This window comes from Homo sapiens, chromosome 16 (assembly GCF_000001405.40).
Source record: "Homo sapiens chromosome 16, GRCh38.p14 Primary Assembly".
NCBI lineage: Eukaryota > Metazoa > Chordata > Mammalia > Primates > Hominidae > Homo > Homo sapiens.
The window spans coordinates 27,357,846-27,382,900 of record NC_000016.10 but is presented as its reverse complement, the minus strand read 5'-3'; the positions used below and the strand labels follow the sequence as shown (position 1 = coordinate 27,382,900).

Genomic DNA, 25,055 nt, shown 5'->3' with positions numbered 1-25,055 from the left:
CTAACTGCAGCCAGAATGATCATTTTGAGACAATCATCTGATCAAGTCACTTCCACATCCAAAGCCTTCCTATGGTTGGTCAAACAAACCCTAGGTCCTGTGTGTGGCCAGTAAGGCCCTCCGTGGCTGATCCCCATTGCCTCTGAATTTGTCTCTTTCCTCTCCCCCAGTTTTCTGACTCTGGCCTCCTGGCTGCACCCCCTTCACGCCATTCCCTTCCCAGGGCCTTCGCACAGCCCGCTCCCTCCTCCTAGAACAATCTCTTTCTCCCTGTCCCTCCAGATATCTGCGTGGCTCATTCCCCTAGTTCACTCAAGCCTCTATTCAGACCTCCTTGGTGAGGTCTTTCCTGGCACCTCCTAAACAGCTCTCCACCCGCTAATTTCCCCTGGCCCCTCCCCTGCCTGTCTGTTCTGCATAGCACTCAAGCCCTCTGACGTCACACTGTGGGCTCACCTGCACATCTTTTGGCTCTCTGTCCTCACTAGGTGTCACTTCATGAGAGCAGGGACTCTGTTCTGCTCACTGCAGAACCTTCCTCAGTCCCTTTAGGGCAGTGCCTTGCACACAGTAGGTGCTCACTAAAAAGTCAGCCCTGCTTCAGCCCCACTTAGGATTCACTCTGGGAAAAAGAATCACCCCTGCCCCCCTGAGTCAGGTTGGCCTACAAATGGCAAGGCCTCTTCAGTCTCAAATCTCACATGTGGCTCACACAGCTCTGCCTTTCCCTCCGGCTGAATTAGCCTCTCACCTCACCCTCCCTTCTTGCATGATGTGCTTCAGCCGGAATGGGTTGTTTCCTCCTGGCTCCCACATGGGCCGTGTCCTCTACCTGGTGCATTCTTTCTGTTGCCATCTGTTGGAAAACTAGTTCCAGTCCTTCAGATTTTAACTTAGATGTCATCTCCTCCAGGAAGCTTTCCCTGATTGCCCAAGTCTGGGTCAATTGTCCCTCCTCTGAGCCCAAGCTTCCGAGTCTTGTTATGAACACACTGCATTGTTGTTGCTTATGCACTTGATCCCAATCCCATGCAGGTAGGGGCCAGTCTTGTATCCCCCAGGGCCTAGGACAGTGCTGGGACTCAAGAAACGTGATTGGAGTGAATCAGTGGATGAATGAATGCTCTGAATGACACCACCTCAAAGGACCTGGAGCATTCTCCTTAATCACTCTTGTGGGTGCCAATCTCCTTGGGCGCCTTTAGAAGCACTATATTTTCTTCCTGAGTACTGCAGCTCTTTTTAGGCCCCTGAAAGGCACCTGGCTCTTTCAGTTTTATGGGCATTTGTGAAAGAACTCAGCCCAACAGACCTCTGATGGGCACACCTAGAACCACCTCCAAATGGATTCACCATGGCACATGCTGGGACCACCTTCTACCTTGGAGAGAGCTTCCCACCCATTCTCTCATTTCTGCCTCCCCTAAACAGTGAGCTGGCCTGGAAAAGTCTGGCCTCTCCAGGTGGGGAGGATGGAGTCAGGTGACTATGTCCTCTTTGATGAGTGGGCAGTGAGGTCCCCCAAGAAGAAGGGGCAATGCTGAGTAGAGACCCCTTCCCCACCCTCCAGTCATCTGAGACCATGACTTGGTTATCTTCTTGGAACCCACATGGTAATCTTGGCACCCATCAGAGACTGTCCTTGTCTCTCTAGGGCTGGGATGGGGGACATGCTGGAGGACCCAGATGTGCACACCACAGGTGCCCACAACACACAAATGAAAACAGCAGCAGTAGCAGGTGTTGAGTACTTACTCGGTGCCAGATGCTAGTATCTTATTTATTCCACTAAACAACTCCAAGTCTGTGTTGTTGCTGGAGGCTTAGGGTCCTTGGGCCACATGTGGGGCTGAAAATAATCCTGATCTCTGTCCGTCTGTGATAAGAGCTAGTAATAATAATAATGTCTGCCTTCTGTTGTCTCCCTGTATTCCTGTATTAGTCTGTTTTCACGCTGCTGGTAAAGACATACCTGAGACTGGGCAATTTACAAAAGAAAGGTTTAATTAGACTTAACAGTTCAATATGGCTGGGGAGGCCTCATAATCATGGCCAAAGGCAAGGAGGAGCAAGTTACATCTTATGTAAATGGAGGCAGGCAGAGAGCTTGTGCAGGCAAACTCCCGTTTTTAAAGCCATCAGATGTCATGAGACTTATTCACTATCATGAGAACAGCACAGGAAAGACCTGTCCCCATGATTCAATTATCTCCCACTGGGTCCCTCCCACAACACATGGGAATTATGGGAGCTACAAGATGAGATTTGGGTGGGGACACAGAGCCAAACCATATCACCCCCCAACAAGAGAAGGCAGGCATTATTACTAGCGCATATCACAGATGGGGAAACCAAGCCACAGGGAATTTAAGTAACTTGTTCATTGTCACACAGATAAGAAGACATGAACCTGGGATTCAAACCTGGACAGTTCGGCTGCAGAGCTTGAGCTGTTAACGATGACACTCTCATCTTTTTCACAAATGCCCACACAAGTCCCCTTCTGTACATATCAACATATCTCACTTACATATATGTGCAAATCAGCATATGAAATCCCGCTCTTGCTCATGCACTCATGGACACATACAACCCAATCACAAAGACATAGATTCTCCTGTAGCATGAAATTCATCATACATCGTCAATAGGCAGCGAGAATTCACCCGAGTCACGCACATTTACACACAGGTGTGCATGTCCCTGTTAATATGCCTGCGTGAAAAGCATGCAGAACCGCCACTCACAAGTTCACACATGTGCAAGTACACACACATTGTCACATAGGCACAGACATATATATGTGTGCACACTTGCATATAAACATTTCTTGAGCACCTACTATGTGCCAGGCACTGTGCCGGTTCTGGGAATATAAAAGTGAAGAAAACCGAGTTTCTACTCTCTCAGAGTGTGTAATCCAGGGGAGGGGGAGGCATGCGTGAGCAAATCAGATAGAAAGTGCAGTGGCTCATGCCTGTAATCCCAACACTTTTAGAGGCCGAGGCAGGCACATCACCTGAGTTCAGGAGTTCAAGACCAGCCTGGCCAACATAGTGAAGCCACGTCTCTACTAAAAATACAAAAATTAGCTGGGCAAGGTGGCGCATGCTGTAATCTCAACTACTTGGGAGGCTGAGGCGGGAGAATCATCTAAGCCCGGGAGGCAGAGGATGTTGCAGTGAGCCAAGATCGTGCCACTGCACTCAAGCCTGGGTGACACAGCAAGACTCCATCTCAAAAAAAAAAAAAAAAAGAAAGCTCATAGTTATGGAGTGCTTATTATGCATAAGTTGCAGAGCTGAATCTGCCTCATGCATTAGGGGTCCGTAAACACCACAGCCCCCATGCTTACATGCACACATATGAATATAAACCTCCCTCCCTGCAGAAGCCACATGGCACAACCTGGGCCCTTGACAGGAGTGGATGGGTGTAGGGGACGGGGATCAGCATTATTTTCAGCCCCCCTCGTGGCCCAAGGACCTCAAGCCTCCAGCAACTTCCCTGAGATGAGACCATGGCCTGTGCGACAAAATGCACATGCAATTTGCAGACATGTGTACATCTCTCCACGTGCTTGTATGTGTGCAGGTCCCTCAGCAGTCCCCCATTCTCCTCAGGACCTCCCGCCCTATCAAGAGCCCCTGTCCCTAAGTCACCAACCTCCTCCCCCTACCCTCATCTTGCACCTTAGGGACCTGTGGGACGGAGACATTTGGATCTTCCAAGACGCTGCACACACAGGCGGAGGATGGGCTGCAATGACTCGGCTTCCAGGCAGCTGTGGTGAGTTTCTGCAAAGACTCCCTTCCTCAAAGAGGCTCTGCTTTACTGAAAGTTCAGGTTGCCGTGGTTTCCCCGCATTCACATGGGGGAAAGGTCAGACTCTCACAAAAATATTTACCAAGAACTGTCTGTCAGTCAATCAACAAACATTTACAGACAGCTGCTGCTCACATGCTGGGGAGAGAGGGGGGATGAATAAGCACAGGCCTTGTCCTACATAAAAGCTCAGGGGCCATGAGGGAGCTGTGATTGACCCAGCAAGGGACACAGTGGCCAGGAAGAGGGAACTGCTTGTCCAAAACCTGGCATCAAAAGAGTGTGCCCTGGTGAGACCAAAACAACCTTTTTTTTTTTTTTTTAATTGAGACGGAGTCTTGCTCTGTCGCCCAGGCTGGAGTGCAGGGGCGCGATCTCGGCTCACTGCAAGCTCCGCCTCCCAGGTTCACTCCATTCTCTTGCCTCAGCCTCCTGAGTAGCTGGGACTACAGGCACCCGCCACCATGCCCGGCTAATTTTTTTGTATTTTTAGTAGAGACGGGGTTTCACCGTGTTAGCCAGGATGGTCACGATCTCCCGACTTTGTGATCTGCCTGCCTCGGCCTCCCAAAGTGCTGGAATTACAGGAGTGAGCCACTGTACCCAGCTCAAAACAACCATTTTTTATGGCCCCTAAAATCACAACCAGTGGTGTGCTGGTAAGCCAACAAAAACAACAGGAAACAAACCAAAAACCCAATATGTGTGTTTGCTGCAAAATCCTGAAACACGGTGTTTGCTGCTTTGCATGGTGTAGATAGTCTCATTGTGGCCAATTTCAGGCTACCAAGGTGATGTCAGGGGCTGCGGAGGCAAAGATGACCACAGGAGCTGGTGCAAGCTGGACTCAACACACTGTTTCTTCCCACAGACACCAGGAGGACAGAGCCAGAGCTTTGGTGCCTGGAACAGAGTAAGGAGTCTCAGTTAGAAGTGCCAGGGACAAGACCCAAACCTCTTGTTCATCTTTTGATGCATATTCCGACCTGTTCTTTCATTCACTCAGCACTTACCCTGTGCCAGGTACTGTGCACCTGAAGGTGCTGAGACCATTGCTGCCTGTGCTGATGGGGAAGTACTGGTGTTAAGGAGCCCAGAAGAGAGGCATTAACCAATGCCTGGGGAGCTAGAGGACTTCCTGGAGGAGGTAGTATCTAAGCTGAAATGGAAGGGAGTAAAGCAGCAAGTGAGGGGTAGAAAAGAGTTATTTGCAAGCAGAGGAAATAGGATGTGCAACAGCTTAGTGATCTCATGCACCACTGGGTTCCCCCAGCAAAAGCATCCTGTTGAGCAGATTTTGTAAATGAACCAGCACCATCCTAGGTGCTTTACAAGTATTCACTCATTTAATCCTCAGACGATCCTATGGGGTATTTAATATTCTTAGCTCCTTTGTACAGATGGGACCACTGGGACAGATGGAAGTTATGAATAAGTCAATATGCCCAAGATCACTGGTCTGCCCTTCCTCTCCACGATGCTACCTTGAAGCATCTGAAGTAGGTGCAGCTTGGGGAAATTTTAGGGGGTACCCAGATATGGGAAACAACTGTAAATTTAATTCTGGGTTTAATGAAATGTCAGAGTGTGGGAAGTGATGGGTTCAGTCCCTCCCCTGCTCCCTGCCAGCCCTTCACACACAAAGACAAGAGTATTGTCCATCATGGACACATTGACCGAGGCTGTCGGTCAGCCAGTCAACAGAGATTTGTCAGAATCTTTATGTCTTGGTCTGGCCTAGGACTGGGATGTTTGCAGTGAACCTCTGCTCACATTTTTGTTTTGTTTTTCCTTTTTTTTTTTTTTTTTTGAGACAGAGTCTTGCCCTGTTGCCCAGGCTGGAGTGCAATGGCACAATCTCGGCTAACTGCAACCTCCGCCTCCCGGGTTCAAGCGATTCTCCTCCCTCAGCCTCCTGTGTAGCTGGGATTACAGGGGCATGCCACCACGCCCAGCTAATTTTTTGTGTCTTTAGTAGAGACGGGGTTTCACAATGTTAACCAGGCTGGTCTTGAACTCCTGACCTTGTGATCTGCCCACCTTGGCCTCCCAAAGTGCTGGGATTACAGGCGTGAGCCACCCCATCTGGCCTTGTTTTGTTTTTCTACTGAACACTTAATCTGGGCTGGGCTCTAGGCTGAGGATTGGGGCACAGAAGAAGTAATGAATCTGTGTCCCTGTCATCAAGGGGCATGATAGGAGACATACAGGAGACAAGGTTTTCTGTATGTTTGAAATATTCCATGATTTAATATAAAAAATAATTTTTATATTAAATTTTAGACACAAGGTCTTGCTCTGTTGCCCAGGCTGGAGTGCAGTGGCACGATTATGACTCACTGCAGCCTCAAACTCCTGGGCTTAAACGATCCTCCTGCCTCAGCCTCCTGAGTAGCTGGGACTACAGGCGCAAGTAGTCAATTGCAATAAATGACGATTACAATAAGTGATCGAAGAGGCCCAAGGACAAAGGAGAGAACAATTCTGCCCCCCATCGAGGGGAGGACTCACGGGGAAAGGCCTGCTGCCACTGGGCCTGAGAAGATGATATTTTACAGCAGTTGCCAGGGAATCAGGGGAGGACGATTTGGACCTACAGATATGGATAAGGATTTTGGTTTTTTTTTAGAGAAGAGGCAATGGTGGAAATGTTCTGGAATTACATAGTGGAGATGTGTGTACTACAACATTGTGAATACACTGAAACCCACTGAGTTATATATTTTTAAGTGGTTGAAATAGTGAATTTTACGTCATATAAATTTTATCTCAATAAAAAATAAGCTTATGACTGGGTGCAGTGGCTCGCACCTATAATCCCAGCACTTTGGGAGGCCAAGGCGAGTGGGTCACCTGAGGTCAGGAGTTTGAGACCAACCTGGACAACATGGCAAAATGCCATCTCTACTAAAAAATACAAAAATTAGCTGAGCGTGGTGGTGGGTGCCAGTAATCCCAGCTACTAAGAAAGCTGAGGCAGGAGAATTCCTTGAACCTGGGAAGCAGAGGTTGCAGTGAGCCAAGATAGTGCCATTGCACTCCAGCCCAGGCAACAAGAATGAAACTCCATCTCAAATAAATACATAAATAAATAAGCTTATGTTTCAACCACAGGGAGCTTTCTGGTTGTAAGTGACAAAAATGCCTGTTTAAAAACAAAGTTTAGGCCGGGCATGGTGGCTCACACCTGTAATCCCAGAGCTTTGGGAGACTGAGGCAGGAGAATCACTTGAGACTAGGAGTTTGAAATCAGCCTGGGCAACATTCAGCCTGGGCAACATAGCGAGACACCATTTCTACAAAAAATACAAGTATTAGCCAGGCGTGGTCACTTGTGCCTGTAGTCTCAGCTACTCAGGAGGCTGAGGCAGGAGGATCGTTTAAGCCCAGGAGTTTGAGGCTGCAGTGAGCCATAATCGTGCCACTGCACTCCAGCCTGGGCAACAGAGCAAGACCTTGTGTCTAAAATAATAATAATACATTTTAAAAATAAATAAGAAGTTTATGAATATAGTTTCAGGCATGGATAGATCAAGGTTCTCAAATAATTTCTTCAGGTTGGAAGGTTCTACTCTGGGATCTGCTTTCTTTTGTATTGGCTTTAGTCTCATTCTCAAGCAAGCTGAGGAAGCCTCATTGGTGGCCAAAGAAAAGCAGGGACCTCAGAAGCCAAGACCTACCACCTACCAGCTTTCAAAGCCCAAAGGAAAGAAGGCATGTTTTCCTAATGGTTCCAATGATGCTACCAGGAAAAGCTCTCATTGGTCAGTTTTAATCATATGCCTGTCCCTGAACCAATCTTCAGATTGGGAAAGGAATGCTCTGATTGGCCAAGCCTGAGTCATGTGCCCTGTTGGAAAGCTAGGAGTTAGATCAGTTCTCTGGCAGTTAGATCAGTTCTCTGGAACTGCGAGTGGGAAGACGCTGTCCCGGCAAGGACCACCAGGTGGTGATGTCAGAAGAAGGGAGAGTAGATACAGGGCAGGCAGGATAGCCGGGTTCGTCCGGAAGAGTGGTAGGGAGGGGCGTGCCTGCCAGAGGGAAAGGCATGAGAAAAGGCTTGGAGGTTGAAATTGCATGGTGTGGGCTGGGAACTGTGGCTGGGTGGTGGCGTGTAGTCAGATGATGGTGTCTAGAGGGGTCAGGTCATGTGTCTGAAGACATGAGAAGCCTCACTTCTCACTTTGAACCAGGGCCAGGTACAAAGAGGTTTGGACAGGGCCTGTACGCCAGTGTTGCCCAAACTCTCATCCCTATGCACACAAGTCATTTCTGCCGTATTTACATTTTTTCTCCATCATTACATTTTCTTCATATTGGCCTCCTCGCTTTGTTTAAATCACTTTATTGTCAAATGAAACATTGTCACCATCACACATGAAAGATCAGGATCCTTTACTGTAAATAGAAGGGAACTGTAAAAACAAGCCCATTGAAACCAAAACCGAGTGATTAACTTCCAGCTAGATGCTGCAGCCTGTGGTAGGCTAATCTGGAGAAGAGAAAGAGAACTGAAAAAGGAATTGTTTTCTCAGCTCACTATGCCCACATGCCACCTAAAATCATCTTAGGGACCCCAGGGAGCAGGGAAGGACGCAGTCACAAAGATGGTCCTGGTCCTGGCATGGGGGAGTGTTTGATAAAGACACTACCGGCATAAACCCAGGGGTTACAATAGGGAGGCTGACATGGCTGAACAGAGGAGCTGGAGAGCAGGGTCCCAGGGACAGACTCACAGTACCGGAAGTTCTGCAGGGAGGAAGGAGGTAGTCAATTGAGGAGCACCCGCTCTCTTGCTTTAGCAATCAAAACCAGGAACCAGAAGGAGGAGGTTTGGCGAGGATGAGAAAGAGCTCGTTTGGATATACTGAATCTGAGATGTGGGGATGTCTCTGTGGAGATCCATTCATCTGTTCAAGAAGTATTTATTTATTTACTTATTTTTGTGTATTTATTTAGAGACAGGGTCTCTGTCGCCCAGGCTGGAGTGCAGTGGCGTGATCGTGGCTCACTCCAACCTCGACCTCCTGGGCTCAAGCGATCCTCTCACCTAAGCCTCCCCAGTAGATGAGACTACAGTTATGCACCGCCATGCCTGGCTACTTTTTGTATTTTTTGTAGAGATGGAGTTTTGCCATGTTGCCCAGGCTGGTCTCAAACTCCTGGGCTCAAGCAGTCCACCTGCCTTGGCCTCCCAAAGTGCTGGGATGACAGGCGTGAGCCATGGTGCCCAGCCAAGAAGTATTTATTGAGCACCTACTATGTGCCAGGCACTGTTCTAGGCCCTGGGATAAGGCAATGAGCCAACCAAACTGAAATCTCTGCCCACCATGAGTCTACTTTCTTTGGGGGAGATATGGGAGACCTGGTGAGAAATAAGAAATAAAAGACTTAATAATATATACAATATATAATAACATATGTCACACGAGATAGGAATGGCTACTAGCTAGGACATGCAAAATGTTTGGGTGGGAGATGTGGAAACTGAGACATACCCAACTGCAGTTGAATGTATAACTCTGGAGTTCAGGCAAGAGATCTCAGCTGGGGAGATATATTTAGAAGACATCATTCATTCATTCATTCATTCACTTAGTAAATGTTTATTGAGTATGCTCTATGTGCCAAGCACAGTGCTGGGCTGTGGACCACACAGTTCCTGATCCATGCGACTCCAGTACAGATTTAGTGAAGGTTGTAATTAACTCTGTGGAAAGAGGAGAGGAGATGGGGAGGGCCCCAGATGGGCCCTGCGGACCCCTAACGTGTAAGAGAGGGCAGAGGAGAAGACCTTGGAAAAAGAGACTGGAGCCAGGTGCGGTGGCTCATGCCTGTAATCCCAGCACTTTGGGAGACCGAGGCAGGCGAATCACAAGATCAAGAGCTCAAGACCAGCATGGCCAACATGGTGAAACCCCGTCTCTACTAAAAATACAAAAAAATTATCCAGGTGTGGTGGTGGTGGGTGCCTGTAATCCCAGCTACTTGGGAGGCTGAGGCAGGAGAATCGTTTGAACCTGGGAGATGGAGGTTGTAGTGAGCTGAGACTGCGCCACTGCACTCCAGCCTGGGTGATAGAGCAAGACTCTGCCTCAGAAAAAAAGAAAAAGAGACTGGACAGGAACAAACAGCCAGTGTCAGAGAACCAAGAGGGGCCGAGTTTCAGGAGTGAGGGAGATGCTAGTGCCACAGAGTAGTAGGGATTGAAACTGAGACTTGGCTTGGGTGGTGGAGCTGGCTTCAGTGAAAGTAGTTTAGTAGCAGAGTCAGGCCGACTCTGCACAGAGAGGGTAGAGGAGTGGGTGCAGAGGAAGGAAGTGAAGCCCAAGAGAGGAGACAGCTTTTGAGCACAAGCACTGTGGCTGGGGGAGAGAAGGCGAGAGAGAAATAGGAGCCGGGGTGGAGGGAAGCTTGGGCTGTTTGAAGATGGAAAGACTTGAGTAGATATGTGTGGCAATGAGGAAAGGCCAGCAGAGGGAGGCAGGTGAAGACACAGGGGAGTGATGGTGTTTTAGGGTCCAGAGGGAGAAGAGAGCTCAGCCTGGGAGAGAGGGAATGACCCCGCATCAGGAATGGCTGCATCATTGGAGGGGCACTGTGCAAAATAAAAATGCAGGTCTTCTTATTCAAAAAGGGCTGATAATTTGGCCAGGCGCGGTGGTTCACGCTTGTAATCCCAGCACTTTGGGAGGCCAAGGCGGGCGGATCACTTGAGTCCAGCAGTTTGAGACCAGCCTGGCCAACATGGTGAAACCCCGTCTCTACTAAAAATAAAAAATTAGCTGGGCATGGTGGCTCATGCCTGCAATCCCAGCTACTTGGGAGGCTGAGGCAGGAGAATTGCTTGTACTCGGGAGGCAGAGGTTGCAGTGAGCCGAGATTGAGCCACTGCACTCCAGCCTAGGGGACAAGAGCGAGACTCCGTCTCAAAAAGAAAAAACAAAAGGGCTGAGAAATCAAGATGGTCACTCTTGGTTCCTGGATTAGAAGTGGGCTGAGTTGTGGCTTCTGGCTGCCCAGCAGATACCTCTGGGGTAGGAATGGCTGTCACCATGCTCCACCCCAAGGTCCCGTGAGGTGAGCTACTGACCTTGATGATCCTTTGCACCTGTGCCCAGGCCTCCTTCAAGGGCAGAAGGCAGCAATGGTCATGGATGGTGGTGGAATGGGGAGGATGAGTAGGGCCTGGTGTGCTGGGGACAGAGCAGCAGGTGGCCAGGAGCCTGTACCAGGGAAGCAGGCAGGTGGCAGATGTCCCAGGGAAGCAGGCAGGAGGTGGGACCCTGTGTGAGCTGAGGCTCCAAGCCCTCAATGGGTGCTCCTTGGTCCCATTAAACCTCCCTATAAAACACAACTTCAGAGATAAAATTTTTAAGAATTTCTTTTTCTTTTTTTATTTTTTTTTGAAACAAAGTCTCGCTCTGTTGCTCAGGCTGGAGTGCAGTGGCACAGTCTTGGCTCACTGCAACCTCCACCTCCCGGGTTCAAGTGATTCTCCTGCCTCAGCCTCCCTGAGTAGCTGGGATTACAGGCATGCACCACCATGCCTGGCTAATTTTTGTATTTTTAGTAGAGACGGGGTTTCACCATATTGGCCAGGCTGGTCTCAAACTCTTGACTTCGAGTGATCCGCCCACCTTGGCCTCCCAAAGTGCTGGGATTACAGGTGTGGGCCACTGCGCCTGGCCAAGAATTTCAAAACTGGGACTTCAGAGCATGACACTGAAGAGTAGGGGTCCTCCGAGCAGGGGGGTACGGGCTGCTGCCTGGCGCACAGCTGTGGAGCCAGCCTGCCCTACGTCCACTCTAACAAGAAAGGGTGGATGCCGATATGGAATGGGCAGGAATTTGGCAGGATCCTCTGGAAGTGAAGATTGAGTGCCAATAAAGAGGGAGAGGATGGGGATTGGGGAAGGAGCTTGAGGAAGAGTCCAGAGCCTAAAGTTGGATGCGTGAATGCACCTGCACGTTCATTTCCCATTGCTTCTCTGACAAATTTCCACAAGTTTAGTGGCCTAAAACTGAAATTTATGATCTTGCAATTCCAGAGGTCAGAAGTCTGAAACTGGTCTCACTGAGCTCAAAATCAGGGTGTTAACAAGGCTGTGTTCATTCCAGAAACTCTAGGGAAGTCTGTTCCTTGACTTTTCCAGTTTCAAGTGGTCACCTGCATTCCTTAGCCCATGGCCCTTCCCTCCATCTTCAAAGCCAGCAGCATAATATTTTGAAATCTCTCTCTGACTTGGCTTCTCCTGCATCTCTCACTTATGAAGATCCTTGGGATTATATTGGGCCTGTCTGGATAATTAAGGATAATCTCCCTCTACATCTCAGGTTCAGTTGATTAGCAACCCTGCTTCCATCTGTAACCTTAATCCCCCCCTTGCCATGTAATGTAACATGTTCACAGGTTCCAGGGATTGGGACATGGACATCTTGGGGGGTTCATTATTGTACCTACTACAATTTTTAAGGTTGCTTTATGACTGCAAAAGAAAACTCACAGTGGTTTAAAGAAAAGCACACTTACAGTTTATTTAAGAATTTAAGGTTGGTTTGATCACTTGGTGATGTAATCAAAGCCCCAGGCAGGCCTTCTTCTTCTTCCACTCCACCATATTCAGAATGCCTCCTTTCATCTCCAGGCTTGTCTCCTCATGATTGCAAAAGCACCATCCAAAGCAGAAAGGAAGGTGGCAAAGGAGCCTTCTCCTCCATGCTGCTTTTTGATTAGGAAGGAGAACTGCTGACTTGCTCTGTGGTTCCATGGCAGAGAGGAAGGTCAGGCAGCCCAGCTATGTTGACCAACTCAAGCTAAATTTGCTGCTAGAAATCAGGAAATCATGGATGGTGGTGGAAGGGGGAGGATGCGTAGGGCCTGGTGTGCCCAGGGCAGAGCAGCAGGTGGCCAAGAGCCTGTCCCAGGAAATGCCAGTTCCTGGGTGGGATCACGCTAAGGTGGGTCATCAGTATATAGGAGTGGTGGTTCAGGGCAGCCAGAATCAGAGATCAGCCTATAGCTGGGATCAAAGATCCATCTGTGGTGAGGGTCAGGGGTCAGCATGTGGCTGGGGCCAGCCTGCAACCAGGATCATGAGTAAGTCAGTAACATGGGTCGGGACTCAGTTCCTGGCTTGAGTCAGAGCTGTTCTGTGGCTGAGGACAGGAGGTGGACTGTGGCCAGGATCAGAAGTCAGTCTGTGGCTGGATCAGGGTCATTCTGTGGTTGGAGTCAGATATCATAATGGAGTTGGGATCAATCAGTTTAGTCTTCTCTGTCTGTCTTTCTCTCTGCATCTCTGCTTCTCTCTGTCTCATTCTCCTTTGCTGTAAACACCTGTTGGAAGCTCAGCAACTTGGGTCCATGGGGAAGAGGGAAGTTGAGTCTGGGCAAGGTCCTATAAGTCCCGGTATGGAAGAACATAAGGGAAAAAGAGAAAAATGTCAGGAATATAAAGATATTCCCTAGAAAAATGTCAGGAATATAAATATATGTATGTATGATGAGAAATGAATGATATAAAACCGCAAATACGCAAACACTGACTCTGCATGTAAACAACACACAGAAGTGGCACAAACAGATACAAACACAAGTGGGTTGAATGATGGGATTGGGACAATTTTTTGTCCTGGATTACTGTTGCTCCATTCTGCCCTTTTTGTAATAAAGTCAAATTAAATTTAGAATGTCATTATTTCCTCTAATTATGTTTTATACCCTCACCTCCCACAAAATCCACAGACATATTCAGTGTAATATTAAGGATAATGTTAGCAGACTAGGCATGGTGGCTCACATCTGTAATCCTAGCACTTTGGGAGGCCGAGGTGGATGGATTGCTTGAACCCTAGGAGTCTGGGACTAGCCTAGGCAACATAGTGATTCCCTGTCTCTACAAAAAATTAAAAAACAAATTAGCCAGGCTTAGTGGTGTGTGCACCTGTGGTCACAGCTACTTGAGAGGCTGAAGTGGGAGAATCACATGAGCCCAGGTGTTCAAGGCTGCAGTGAGCCGGGATTGGGCCACTGCGCTCCAGCCTGGGTGACAGAGAAAGACCCTGTCTCAAAAAAAAAAAAAAAAGAAGAAGAAGAAGAATGTTAGCAAATACTTTTAAGGCATTAACTATTTGCAGGCATAGTTCTTTTTTTTTGAGACAGAGTCCCACTTGTTGCCCAGGCTGGAGTGCAGTGGCACAATCTCCGCTTGCTGCAACCTCTGCCTCCTGGGTTCAGGCAATTCTCCTGCCTCATCCTCCCGAGTAGCTGGGATTACAGGCACCCGCCACCATGTCTGGCTGATTTTTGTATTTTTAATAGAGACAGGGTTTCACCATGTTGGCCAGGCTGGTCTCAAACGCCTACCTCAGGCAATCTGCCCACCTTGGCCTCCCATAGTGCTGGGATTACAGGCGTGAGCCACTGTGCCCAGCCGCAGGCATAGTTCTAAGGACCTCACAGGTACTAACATATTTAATTCTCACAATAGCTACATGAGGCAGATATTATAATGATTCCCATTTTACAGATAACGAATCAAGCACAGAGAGGTTACACGCTGGCCTGGCGCCACACAGCATATCTAATGGACATTAGGCTCTTTTGTCTGGTGCTGGGGGAATTTCTGGAAAATGCAGAGATGGAAGAGAGGTGGGATCGGGGCAGGGCGGGTGGGGAATCTCCCAGGCCAAGTTTTCTGGGCACGGCCTGGACCTGGAGCTGCTGGGATGGAGCAGGTGCTGATGCTGATGTGGTCACCAGAGGGCAGCAGGGACCAGGGAGCTGACTTCCTCTTCACACCCCCTCCACCCGGGGCGGTGCCCCTGACTTGTCAATAAACGTCGTGGAAACAGGTGGGATTTGGTGGAAGAACTGACACGGTCCCGCCACCATCACAGGCAAGTTAAGCTTGAGAGCAGCCTGGTGTCACCTGGCCTCCACCCACCACGTCATCTGCTGCTCACCCCACCACTGTGGCGTGCAGAGTACTGCTCTTGTGTGCCTTTTACCAAGGAGGAAATTTAGGCCCAGAGTGGGCAAACACTTTTCCCATGGTCACACAGCTTGGAATTGGAAAGGCTGGACCTAACCAGGCAGGGTGAGCGCAGAGCCCTTGTTCCTCTGAGTCTCTGTTCTGAGCTGGAACCAGGGAAGATGATGAGCCCATGGTATATACAGGGCGGTTAGCTAGGACTCTGGTTTGAAGCCTGGCTATGCCACTCGGTAACAGCACATCGTGGGCAAGTCCCATGCAGCCTCATCGGCTGCCGGGAGGATCCAGTGACGTCAGGCCTCCCTCGTGGTGGGAGCTCAAACACTTGCTGGGTTTTTTGTTTTTTCGGTGTTTTGCTTTTTGTTTTTTAATTAATAACTTTCGTGGGAAAAATAAAGTCAGAAAGGTTGTTCAACCGGATGTTCACGGAGATACTACGCCTTCAAAAACAAGCGCTCATTTCGTGATCGCCCACACAGTGCCAGATGCTGGGGCGGGGATGGGATTTCCGGTGGTTTTTCTTCACTTTCCTCTTTATATCTTCAGGCTTTCTCTGAATAGGAAAAGGTCTGCACGTGCTGATAGAGTAATCAGAAAAATGCAATAAGCCACTTTTTGTAAAAAAAAAAAAAAAATTCAGATGCACTCACTGCCTTCCTCCCCCCTTTCCCCCTCCCCTCATCCCCCACAAATTCTGTGTAAAGGCAGGGCTGAGGGAGTACCCCCAAATCAACATCTCTGAAAGCTCCCCCGCAGGGGCCCAGGCCACTCAGCCCACTCTGGCGCTGCTACCCAGGGGCGTCCCCTCCTGCCCTCTGGTCCAGCCCCGGAGGCTGAAACTCCCGCAGCCGGCATCTCACTGGGCCTATGACCCTGGACTTTTCCTACTTCCTGCAGGGTGGGGGCCAGCCTGAGTTGGGCCCACCTGATCCACCAGGTCTTCTCATCCCTCTGTAGCTTCCCAAAGCCCAGCCAGTTCAGTAATAGTTGCTGAGGCCAACAACTTGGATTTCTTTTGCCTAAGATCCTTTGTTGGGCTCCCAGTCCCATTGCATCTCTAGCAGTCAAATATATTTTCTATTTGCTGCCTAATTTTTAAATTAGATTTCTCTGAGACAATGCTCAGGCAAAGTGGATTCGAGCCGACATCTGCGTAGGTGTCAGGATGACATAAGCTGATATATCACGGCGGCTGGGAGCTCTTAGGTCAGACCCGGGTTCAAATCCTGGCTCCAGGATTTCCTAGCTGTGTGGTTCTAGGCTAATCCTCAACCTCTCTGGACCTGTTTCCTTATCTGTAAAATTGGGATAATCATTGAGCCTCCCAACTAGAGCTGTTTGGAGACGTAAATGACACAGTGGCTGGACGGCACTTAGCATATTGCTTGGCCCTAAACAGATAACTATTTTTATTTAAAATTATATTTTATTATAAAGAGCTTTTGGAGGCAAGAAGTCCAGAAGGCTAGTTCAGGCTCTGCCATTCTCTGGGTGACTTTGGGCAAGTCCCTTTTCCTCTCTAAAACTGTTTCTCCATCTGTAAACTGTGTGATTTGGGCAGCTAAAGGGATTGATTTTGGCTTAGAACAAGGTTTTTTTTGTTTTTTTTTTTTTTTCCTGAGACAGGGTCTCACTCTGTCATCCAAGCTGGAGTGCAATGGCACAATCTCAGCTCACTGCAACCTCCGCGTCCCAGGTTGAAGCAATTCTACCAACTCAGCCTCCCAAGTAGCTGAGATTACAGGCACCCACCACCACACCCGGCTAATTTTTTATTTTTTGGTAGAGATAGGGTTTCACCATATTGGCCAGGCTGGTCTTGAACTCCTCACCTCAAGTGATACACCCGCCTCAGCCTCCCAAATTGCTGGGATTACAGCCATGAGCCATCATGCCTGGCGCAAGGAGGTGTTTCTAACAAACATCAGGCTGCATGTGAGGTAGAGAGCTCCCCATCATTTCCAGTGTAGTATGTAGGCTCCTAGAGCAGGAAGGAATCTAAAATGGCCAAGCCCCTCAAGTGTGAAATCAGGGCAGCTACTCAGAGAAGCAAAAGTGATACAGACATAGGAGCTTCAGGTTCCCAGCCTTCCCATCTAAGGCCCACACCATCCCTCTGCCTGCCTCGGATGTGAAGCGCAGATCACTACAGAGAGCCTGGGTGATGGAGACACTGTCTGGATTCCACTATAGATCTGTTGCTAACTAGCTGTGTGACCTTGGCAGTGTATCATCAGCCACTGTTGGTGTCCTGTTCCTGTCTTCTTGGTGTGCCAGAGTCTCTCAACACCTCCAACTCTCAGTTGAAGAATTTTTTTTTTCCTGGAGTAGCTGGAAGTGCTGGAGAATTAATGCTCCTGGAAGCAGCTCTCAGCCAATGACAGATGGGAGCTGGTGGACAAATACCCCAGCTCCCTCTCCTTTGCAGGCATAACTGGGCATGTGCCATGCATGGTCTTCCAGAGATCCCCGGCAGGTAAGCATCAGTTACTCATGCTGGTAATCTGTTGAATAACTCACCCTTTTGTCAGAGGTTTATTTAAACTGGAGCTTTGAAGAGGGGCTGGGTAAAATGAGGCTGAGACTTACTGGGCTGCATTCCTGGGAGGTTAGGGCATTCTTAGTCATAGAATGAGACAGGAGGTCGTCACCGATACAAGTCATAAAGACCTTGCTGATAAAACAGGTTGCAGTAAAGAAGATGGCTCTAACCCACCAAAACCAAGATGGCAACAAGAGTGACCTCTGGTTGTCCTCACTGCTACACTCCCAACAGCGCCATGACAGTTTACAAATGCCATGGCAACATCAGGAAGTTACCCTATATGGTCTAAAAGGGAGGCATAATAATCCACCCCTTGTTTGGAATATAATTAATCAATAACCATAAAAATAGGCAGCCAGCAACCCTCAGGGCTGCTCTGTCTACGGAGTAGCCATTCTTTTATTCCTTTACTTTCCTCATTAACTTGCTTTCACTGACTCTATGGACTCGCTCTGAATTCTTTCTTGCATGAGATTCAAGAACCCTCTTTTGGGGTCTGCATCTGGACCCCTTTCAGGTAACACTTTCTTGGTTTGTGTCCTTCCCTGCCTCAGTTCCCCACTACCTTAGCAGGGTTTCCCGGGATTACTTCCTAAATCAACTATTTGAATCCTTGTATGGGGAACCCAAACCCAGATGGCAAGTTTCTTAACCTCTTGCATCCTGGTTCCTCTGGATGGGTGAATTCCAGGAGTTAACAGAGACACAGCACTCACAGCAGTGTCTGGAGGTATGTTTGGTTAATACATAAAAAATAAAGAGACAAAGAAACTTTATTTATACAAAACTCCACCCCTTCTGTTCCACTCTCCTCAGCAAACACAGATAACAGGTGATGAAACTAAAACACACAGACGAGCATTACTCAACCCAAGGTTCCCGCCTTCCCTAGCACCTGAGGTCTGGGCCAACATGCAGGGTAACTGGTGCCTTATGCCTGCTGTCTGGATTGCCCGGCCCACAGGGTGGCTGAGCATATTTATTCTGGGGGTTCCATGCATACGAGGAGCCCCCAGCCATACAGCTGGGCATGGGTGTTTGGCAGCAAATTGTCCCTGCTTTAGTCATAGCAATTTTTCATGTCCTCTGTTGCTCCCCTTAACTGAACACCCCTTGACAGCCGGGATTCTGCCTCCAGCATCAACCTAAGGAAGCTCTGTTAAATGAATGAGCACCTCTAGGCAATGACCACCCTCCCTGAAGTTCAATTTCTCATCGATTTCCCAAGGCCGCCCAAGTCATTCCCTTGATGGCTGTGTTAGTTTCTAGGCTCGGCTTCTAGTTCAGTGAGACAGAGGCAGGTGGGCCTCCACGTGGGCCATGATCTGGTGGGCAAAACATGCCTTGGGCAGTTACAACAGGGACAGTCTGCTGCAGAAGCTGTGGAGGGAGCAGCCAACAACTCGTTCACAAGTCGAGGTGCCCAAGGGCCTCAGTTTTCCTGCAGGGGCCTGCCGTGGGGCACGGCGACCCAGTGCCCTCTACTCTCATGGGATGTGGCGAGCCCAGCCCAATGCTGGGCGGGGTCCAGTCTCTGCAGCCCAGTGTTAGGCCAACGTCAGTGGGGCCAATCACCTTCATACCATGGTTCTTCAAGTCTTTTGGAAATCTGCCAGCCTGGCTGCCTTCCAGGAGGTGGCATTTCCCAGGCATGGATAAGCCCTAGTCCTCATCTGCAGACTCAGCAACAAGAGGACATGCACCTAAGAGACCCTCATGTATGTGGGTCCCACGGAGACAAAGTTCACGATTTTGGGGGTCTGGCTTGAGCTCTGAGCATTGCCAGGGGCAGGATGGAAGGATGATGAGGATTTACTCTTCTCTGAGATGCCCGAGGGTGCCAGGGAGGCCGGACACAGACTGGCCTCCAGTGGAACCCCACCTGGAGAGGGGTCTGGGGCCCTCAGGGGGGTTGTAGGGGGCGAGGACCTGTCTCCACAGCAGCAGCCACAGCAAGGACTGGCCATGACAGGGGTCTGGCCACCATCCTCCTGGCCATGACACTGTTTCAGGTGGCCGCACAGGTGGCAGGTAAGGGCTGAGTAGACAATGCCACTGCCCAGGCTGTCCACAAGGGGGTCTGTGGCCTGCTCCTGGGGAAGTGGGGGCTTTGGCATGTCCTCTACCTTTTCCCCCGGCTCCAGACCCAGGTGCTCTGGGGAGCTGCTTGGGAGATGTGAGCTCTGCGGACTGCGAGGTGGCTCCCTGTCCAGTCCAAAGGTGAACAAGGGGACAGGGACTGGGGCAGGGTCCCCAGGGCAGCCAGGAATGAGGTCTTGGAAAGGCTTATACCCCTCTTCCCCACTGCTAGCCCCAAACCCACATTTCTCTGGGGACACAGCACTGCTGGCAAGCAGGCTTGAGAAGGCCTTGTAACCAGCCTCTCCTGGGGGACCCAAGCCCACCACCGCACTGGCCTGGGTGCCACCCTGCTCCACCGCATGTACAAACTCCTGATAGCCACTGGTGGGGGCCGAGACGGGGGCTGCAGCTGCCCCATGCTGGAGGACATTTCGGCGGAGGATCTGCTCCCAGGTTTCTGGCTCAGGTTGGGGCACAGTGGTTGGCTCAGAGAGCTGGGGGACACAGGGCATCTCGGGTTCTACTTCCTCCAGGTGTCTGGCCAGCAGTGGGTCTGGACCCAGCTCTCTGGGACACGGTGACTGGCTCAGGGAGTTGCTGAAGCTGCGGTAAGCAGGGTTGCCTGCGATGACGAGGGGCGTCTCTGTGCAAGTCAGGTTGTCTGGACTCTGGGTCGGGCTGGCAGGAGGACTTGGCTCCAGGTGGAGAGGCTGCTCCTTGCCCCAGGGAGGTGCCTCCTTGGGCCCTGCACTTGGGAACTCATCCCAGGGCATGTGAGCACTCGTACTTCCCGAAGGTGGAAGAAGGCATGACTCCCCCATGTCCTGCTGGCAAAAGCCCCCATTCTCCTCTCCGAGCAGGTCCAGGAACAGGCTCTCTGTTAGCCGGGCCACAATGCCCTCCCTTCCCTCCTGGAAGTCATCCCTGCTGCTCTCAGGCGATGCACAGAAGCTCCCTTTTTCTTCCTCTACCTCCTCCTCCTCCTCACACTCCACCGGGGCCTCAAACAACTCCACACATCGCACCACGCTGATGCTCTCTGGCCAGAGGACTGTCTTGCTGATCTCCACTGGGCACCATGCTGATTTTCCAGAGCCCTGGAAAGGCATCTCTTTGGCAGCCTTGTGAGGATCTTCATCCCTTTTCATGTTGTGCTCCAGAAAACAGGGCAAGAGCTTGGTAAGACAATTCTTCCAGTGTCTGCAAAAGCAAAGGTTGGTCAGGGTTCAGTTTCGACACTTGAAAAACTCCTATTCATTCTTCAAAGCCCAGCCTGAAATCACCATGTCCTGATGGCTGTCTACTTCAGACATGCCTTCTAACGTTATAATCAGTAATTGATCAGTCTATGTTGCTAGAATGAGAAATCCCTGAGGGTAGGGTCTGTGTCTTTGGGATTTCGGGAACCCAGCACATGTCCTGGGCACCAAATACAAGCTCAGATCTGTTGAGTAAGAAAAAGTCTTTATGGATGATGATAATTAAAAGCAACACCATTATCCCAAGCCATGACCAATTAGAAAGGATATGGAAGCCGGGTGCGGTGGCTCACGCCTGTAATCCCAGCACTTTAGGAGGCTGAGGAGGGAGGATCGCTTGAGCTCAGGAGTTTGAGAACAGCCTGGGCAACAGAGCCCAAGCCGTCTCAAACATCTCTACAAGAATTAAAAAAAAGGAAAATTAGCTGGGCATGTTGGTGTATGACTGTAGTCCCAGCTACTTAGAAGGCTGAGGCTAGAGAATCACTTGAGCCCACGAGTTTGAGGCTGCAGTGAATCACTGCACTCCAGCCTGAGGGACACAGCAAGACCCTGCGTCCAAAAAAAAAAAAAAAAAAAAAAGATGCGGGATCCTAGGGTTGAAGCAGGGTCCTGGACCCCCTTTAGTTTCTGGAGTATGGAAAGGTCCAGCAGGCCCCAGGGAAGAAGCTAAGGAGGCCACAGTGGCGGGGCAACACAGCGAGAGCTTGTCTTTACAAAAACTTTTTTTGGTATTATTTTTTTTGAGACAAGAGTCTCACTCTGTCGCCCAGGCTGGAGTGCAGTGGCACAATCTGCGCTCACTGCAACCTCTGCCTCCCGGGTTCAAGTGATTCTCATGCCTCAGCCTCCTGAGTAGCTGGAATTACAGGCAAAAACCTTTTAAAATAGCCAGGCGTGGTAATGCACATCTGTAGTATCAGCTACTCGGGAGGCTAAGATGGGAGGATCACTTGAGCTCAGGAGTTTGAAGGTGCAGTGAGCTATGATCGCACCACTGCACACCAGCCTGGGCCACAGAGTGAGATCCTGTATATTAAAAAAAAGGAGGGGAGTGTTCAGGATAGTGGCTATTTGCCGACAAGTATACAATTAGGTCAAGATTTTAACAACAGGCACGGCTGCTCTGGTTGTTAACTATAACAGCACTCCCAAGGGGTATCACCATGTACCTGACACACCAGTGAAACTCAGGGGGCTTGGCCAGCAGTCCACGTTTCCAGAACACCCCTCCTCCTGCCGTCCCTTGAAGGCTAATGTCACAGGGCAATTACCGAATGCAGGGAAGAGAAGGCAGACATGGAGCTAGGGGCTTGCCTCTCCAATTCTATCACCTTCCCAATGCATGCAGGCTGTGACCTAAGTTCAGATACATACGGGCACTTGGCTGGTTCCTGGCCTCGGGACCGCTTCTCCCACTGTGACCCCTAAAATACAGAGACAGCCAATGAAAGAGCAGAGTGGCCTTGCAGCCCGGCCTGGAGTACGGCAATGCTCAGGAAGGGGTACAAGCCTCGACATCACACAGATCAGAAGTCCAACAGGTCACTTACGCTTTCTGAGCTTCAGATTCCTGGGAATTAATTACATTGTCCTAATATTTACAGGGACTGTGGTCGATGGCAAAAGTGGCCACAGAGGAGTGCTCTGAATCTCCTCCCATCCCTTGAATCTACACTGGCCCTGGGACTTGCTTGGGCCCATAGAATGTGATGGAAGTGATATCATGCCAGTGCTGCGCCTAGGCCTCAAGAAGCCTTGGGACTTCCCACCCTTGAAAACTGAGCCACTCTGTAAACAAGCCTGGGCCGGCCTGCTGGAGAGTGAGAGGCACATGGCTCAGGCACCTGCACTGTCCCAGGTAAAAGTCAGCCAACTAGGCTGGGTGCAGTGGCTCACGCCTGTAATCCCAGCACTTTGGGAGGCTGAAGTGGGTGGATCACCTGATATTAGGAGTTCCAGACCAGCCTGACCGACATGAAGAAACCCCATCTCTATTAAAAATACAAAATTAGCCTGGCGTGGTGGCACATGCCTGTAATCCCAGCTACTTGGGAGGCTGAGGCAAGAAAATTGCTTGAACCCAGGAAGCAGAGGTTGCAGTGAGCCAAGATCACGCCATTGCACTCCTGGGCAATAAGAGCAAAACTCCGTCTCAGAAAAAGAAAAAAAAAAAAAAAGCCAACTGTCAGACACGGAGGGAGGCTACGGGGACGGGTCAGCTCAATTCAGATCTGCCCAGCCCAGCCCAGCCCAGCCTCCCCCGCCACCCTCACTGCTGAGCCCAGCCCCAAATGCCAGCCTGCAGAAGCATAAGCTAAATAAAGTTGTTGTAACCCTCTACATTTCGGGGTCGTTTGTTACACAGCAAACACTAACTGATACATAAATGGCACTTGGTATTTGCAAGAGGCTGGAATATGCACTTTATATGTATTGTCTCAATAAATTCCAATATCTGTCCTACCAGGTAAACACTGTTATAACCCACAAGAGGAAACTGAGGCTCAGAGAATTAAGCAACTTGCTCAAGTCCACACTGCCAGTGAGTGGCAGAGTCAGGATTCAAAGCCAACACCACTAGATTCCAGAGTCCCTGGAAAAGCAAGGACCCTCAGACCTTCTCTTCTAGACAGGACCTATAATCCCCCTTTCTCCTACCTAGAGAACTCTCATCTTGCTCAGGCAAACCCCACCCACTCACCCACAGGACCATCGCCTTGGGGAAGCTGACTCCACCCCTGGCTTAGGGGTGGGATACATTTCAGGCCAATGAGAACCCGGAAGGGATTTGCTAGTGCTTCGGGGGCAGTTTCCTATGCTTAAGAAGAAGACACAGAAAGCCTGTCACCCTCTCCTTCCTCCACTCCTTCTGGCCTCTAGCCCTGGTACTGGCACCTCCCCAGGGAATGACACAGTGATGATGACCCAAGGGTCATTCTCCCAAGGGGAGGGAAAAAAACAGGAAACCAACCCCAGAGAAGCCCACCCCAGGCTGGGATTGCCAAGGGGAAGGGCGGGAAAGCCTCTGGTCTGCTAATGACCTCATTCGGCTTCTGTCTCTGTCTCCCCTGCAACCCTCCTGACTGTCTATTTGCCATTCCAGAAGCCAGTGAAGGTCCTTAACAGCCCAGGTGTTCTGAACCACACTTCTTCATGTACACAGTCCCACATGTCCTCATCCACGCCTACTCCTACCTGAGCATCCTGGATTATTATAGCCACGAGGCGGCTGCGGGCTGGGTTGGGAATCTGATCCCACCATTCTTTCTTAATCCTGAAAAACAAAAGGAAAAGGTGTTGATCTCTGAATTATTGACAGGTGAACGCTCCTCCCATAAAAGTGGTCGTTATCACCAATACTTATTTGGCATCAGAGATCAGGCTGATTAGTTTCTGGAGGTCAAACCACTGACTCATCATTCTAACCTGGTGACATGGATTCTATTGCTAACCCTATTCTACAGATGAGGAGAGTGAGGCCCAAGGAGGTGGAGTGACAGCTGGTAGGTGGCAGAGCCAGGTTCACACTCCCGCATTCTGTTACCCAGCACAGAGTTCCTGAGGAGGCCACCTATGTCCTCAGTGGGAATGAGACCCCAGGGGATTAGGAAAGACTCAAACTGCAGAGAGAGGATTCTAGGTTCCCCTCAACAATCCCTTTTTCAGAGCAGCTGAGGGCAAATGACCAGGGAATGGCCTGGGATGGCCTGGGAAGCTGGGGGACCTACGGAGAAACACAACCCTTCTCTCTTCCTGGCCTGCCTGGGGCCATGGTGCATCATCACTGGGAGGTAAGGTCCTCAGACCGCTTCTGAATTAGCCTCTGCCCATGGTTTCAATAAATAAACACATATTTATTGAGCACCTTCTATGTTTGACTCACTGTGCCTGGCCCTGAGGCCACAACAGTGAACGAGACAAAGATGCCTGCCTTGGTGAAACTGACCTTCAAGAGGGAAAGATGGATGATAAATGGAGACAGAAATGCTTATATGAGGCCAGGCATGGTGGCTCACGCCTGTAATCCCAGCACTTTGGGAGGCCAAGGCAGGTGTATCACCTGAGGTCAGAAGTTCGAGACCAGCCTGGCCAATATGGTGAAACACCGTCTCTACTAAAAATGCAAAACTTAGCCAGGCATGGTGGCAGGCGCCTGCAATCCCAGCTACTCAGGAGGCTGAGGCAGGAGAATCGCTTGAACCCGGAAGGCGGAGGTTGCAGTGAGCTGAGATCGCGCCACTGCACTCCAGCCTGGGGGACAACATGAGACTCCATCTCAAAGAAAAAAAAAAAAAAACGAAAGAAATGCTTATATGAGGTCATTCATTCATGGTAATAAGTGCC

General features: G+C 49.9%; 1 protein-coding gene across 15 annotated transcripts in view, besides 10 other annotated features; it reads right to left on the bottom strand.

The window, feature by feature from the left end:
- Positions 316 to 505: a silencer, noted in NCBI's record as "silent region_7304". NCBI's record gives its function as "represses an Ori minimal core promoter by ATAC-STARR-seq in GM12878 lymphoblastoid cells {active_cell/tissue: GM12878}" and the evidence as "EXISTENCE:reporter gene assay evidence [ECO:0000049][PMID:35858748]".
- Positions 7,559 to 7,853: an enhancer, noted in NCBI's record as "tiled region #7417; HepG2 Activating DNase unmatched - State 4:PromP, and K562 Activating DNase unmatched - State 12:CtcfO". NCBI's record gives its function as "activates a minimal TATA promoter and a strong SV40 promoter by Sharpr-MPRA in HepG2 and K562 cells {active_cell/tissue: HepG2 | K562}" and the evidence as "EXISTENCE:reporter gene assay evidence [ECO:0000049][PMID:27701403]".
- Positions 7,669 to 7,788: an enhancer, noted in NCBI's record as "active region_10619". NCBI's record gives its function as "activates an Ori minimal core promoter by ATAC-STARR-seq in GM12878 lymphoblastoid cells {active_cell/tissue: GM12878}" and the evidence as "EXISTENCE:reporter gene assay evidence [ECO:0000049][PMID:35858748]".
- Positions 8,539 to 8,718: an enhancer, noted in NCBI's record as "active region_10618". NCBI's record gives its function as "activates an Ori minimal core promoter by ATAC-STARR-seq in GM12878 lymphoblastoid cells {active_cell/tissue: GM12878}" and the evidence as "EXISTENCE:reporter gene assay evidence [ECO:0000049][PMID:35858748]".
- Positions 12,887 to 13,087: a silencer, noted in NCBI's record as "peak2541 fragment used in MPRA reporter construct". NCBI's record gives its function as "represses an SCP1 promoter by STARR-seq MPRAs in K562 erythroleukemia cells {active_cell/tissue: K562}" and the evidence as "EXISTENCE:reporter gene assay evidence [ECO:0000049][PMID:32103011]".
- Positions 15,101 to 15,180: an enhancer, noted in NCBI's record as "active region_10617". NCBI's record gives its function as "activates an Ori minimal core promoter by ATAC-STARR-seq in GM12878 lymphoblastoid cells {active_cell/tissue: GM12878}" and the evidence as "EXISTENCE:reporter gene assay evidence [ECO:0000049][PMID:35858748]".
- Positions 15,211 to 15,270: an enhancer, noted in NCBI's record as "active region_10616". NCBI's record gives its function as "activates an Ori minimal core promoter by ATAC-STARR-seq in GM12878 lymphoblastoid cells {active_cell/tissue: GM12878}" and the evidence as "EXISTENCE:reporter gene assay evidence [ECO:0000049][PMID:35858748]".
- Positions 16,644 to 17,843: an enhancer, noted in NCBI's record as "P300/CBP strongly-dependent group 1 enhancer chr16:27376379-27377578 (GRCh37/hg19 assembly coordinates)". NCBI's record gives its function as "activates an origin of replication core promoter dependent on BRD2, BRD4, P300/CBP, MED14 and CDK7 cofactors, with strong dependence on P300/CBP, by STARR-seq in HCT116 cells {active_cell/tissue: HCT116}" and the evidence as "EXISTENCE:reporter gene assay evidence [ECO:0000049][PMID:35650434]".
- IL4R (interleukin 4 receptor) overlaps positions 18,123 to 25,055 on the bottom strand; it is a 51,023-nt gene continuing 44,090 nt past the window's right edge. For 13 of the 15 annotated variants that reach the window (XM_011545826.3, XM_011545825.2, XM_047434067.1 and 10 more), the window contains 3 exons: positions 23,907 to 23,985; positions 22,086 to 22,135; positions 18,123 to 20,649 (listed from right to left, as the gene is read on the bottom strand). In XM_011545826.3, coding sequence (XP_011544128.1) covers positions 19,071 to 20,649; positions 22,086 to 22,135; positions 23,907 to 23,985 — 1,708 coding nt within the window. In that variant the 3' untranslated portion in view covers positions 18,123 to 19,070. The remainder of the gene's footprint in view (positions 20,650 to 22,085; positions 22,136 to 23,906; positions 23,986 to 25,055) is intronic. The other 2 variants (XM_017023211.2, XM_005255308.2) reach the window with 1 other exon arrangement.
- Positions 18,329 to 18,829: an enhancer, noted in NCBI's record as "H3K4me1 hESC enhancer chr16:27375393-27375893 (GRCh37/hg19 assembly coordinates)". NCBI's record gives its function as "activates a minimal SCP1, AML or CMV promoter by ChIP-STARR-seq in naive and primed H9 embryonic stem cells {active_cell/tissue: H9 hESC(naive and primed)}" and the evidence as "EXISTENCE:reporter gene assay evidence [ECO:0000049][PMID:30033119]".
- Positions 18,830 to 19,330: an enhancer, noted in NCBI's record as "H3K4me1 hESC enhancer chr16:27374892-27375392 (GRCh37/hg19 assembly coordinates)". NCBI's record gives its function as "activates a minimal SCP1, AML or CMV promoter by ChIP-STARR-seq in naive H9 embryonic stem cells {active_cell/tissue: H9 hESC(naive)}" and the evidence as "EXISTENCE:reporter gene assay evidence [ECO:0000049][PMID:30033119]".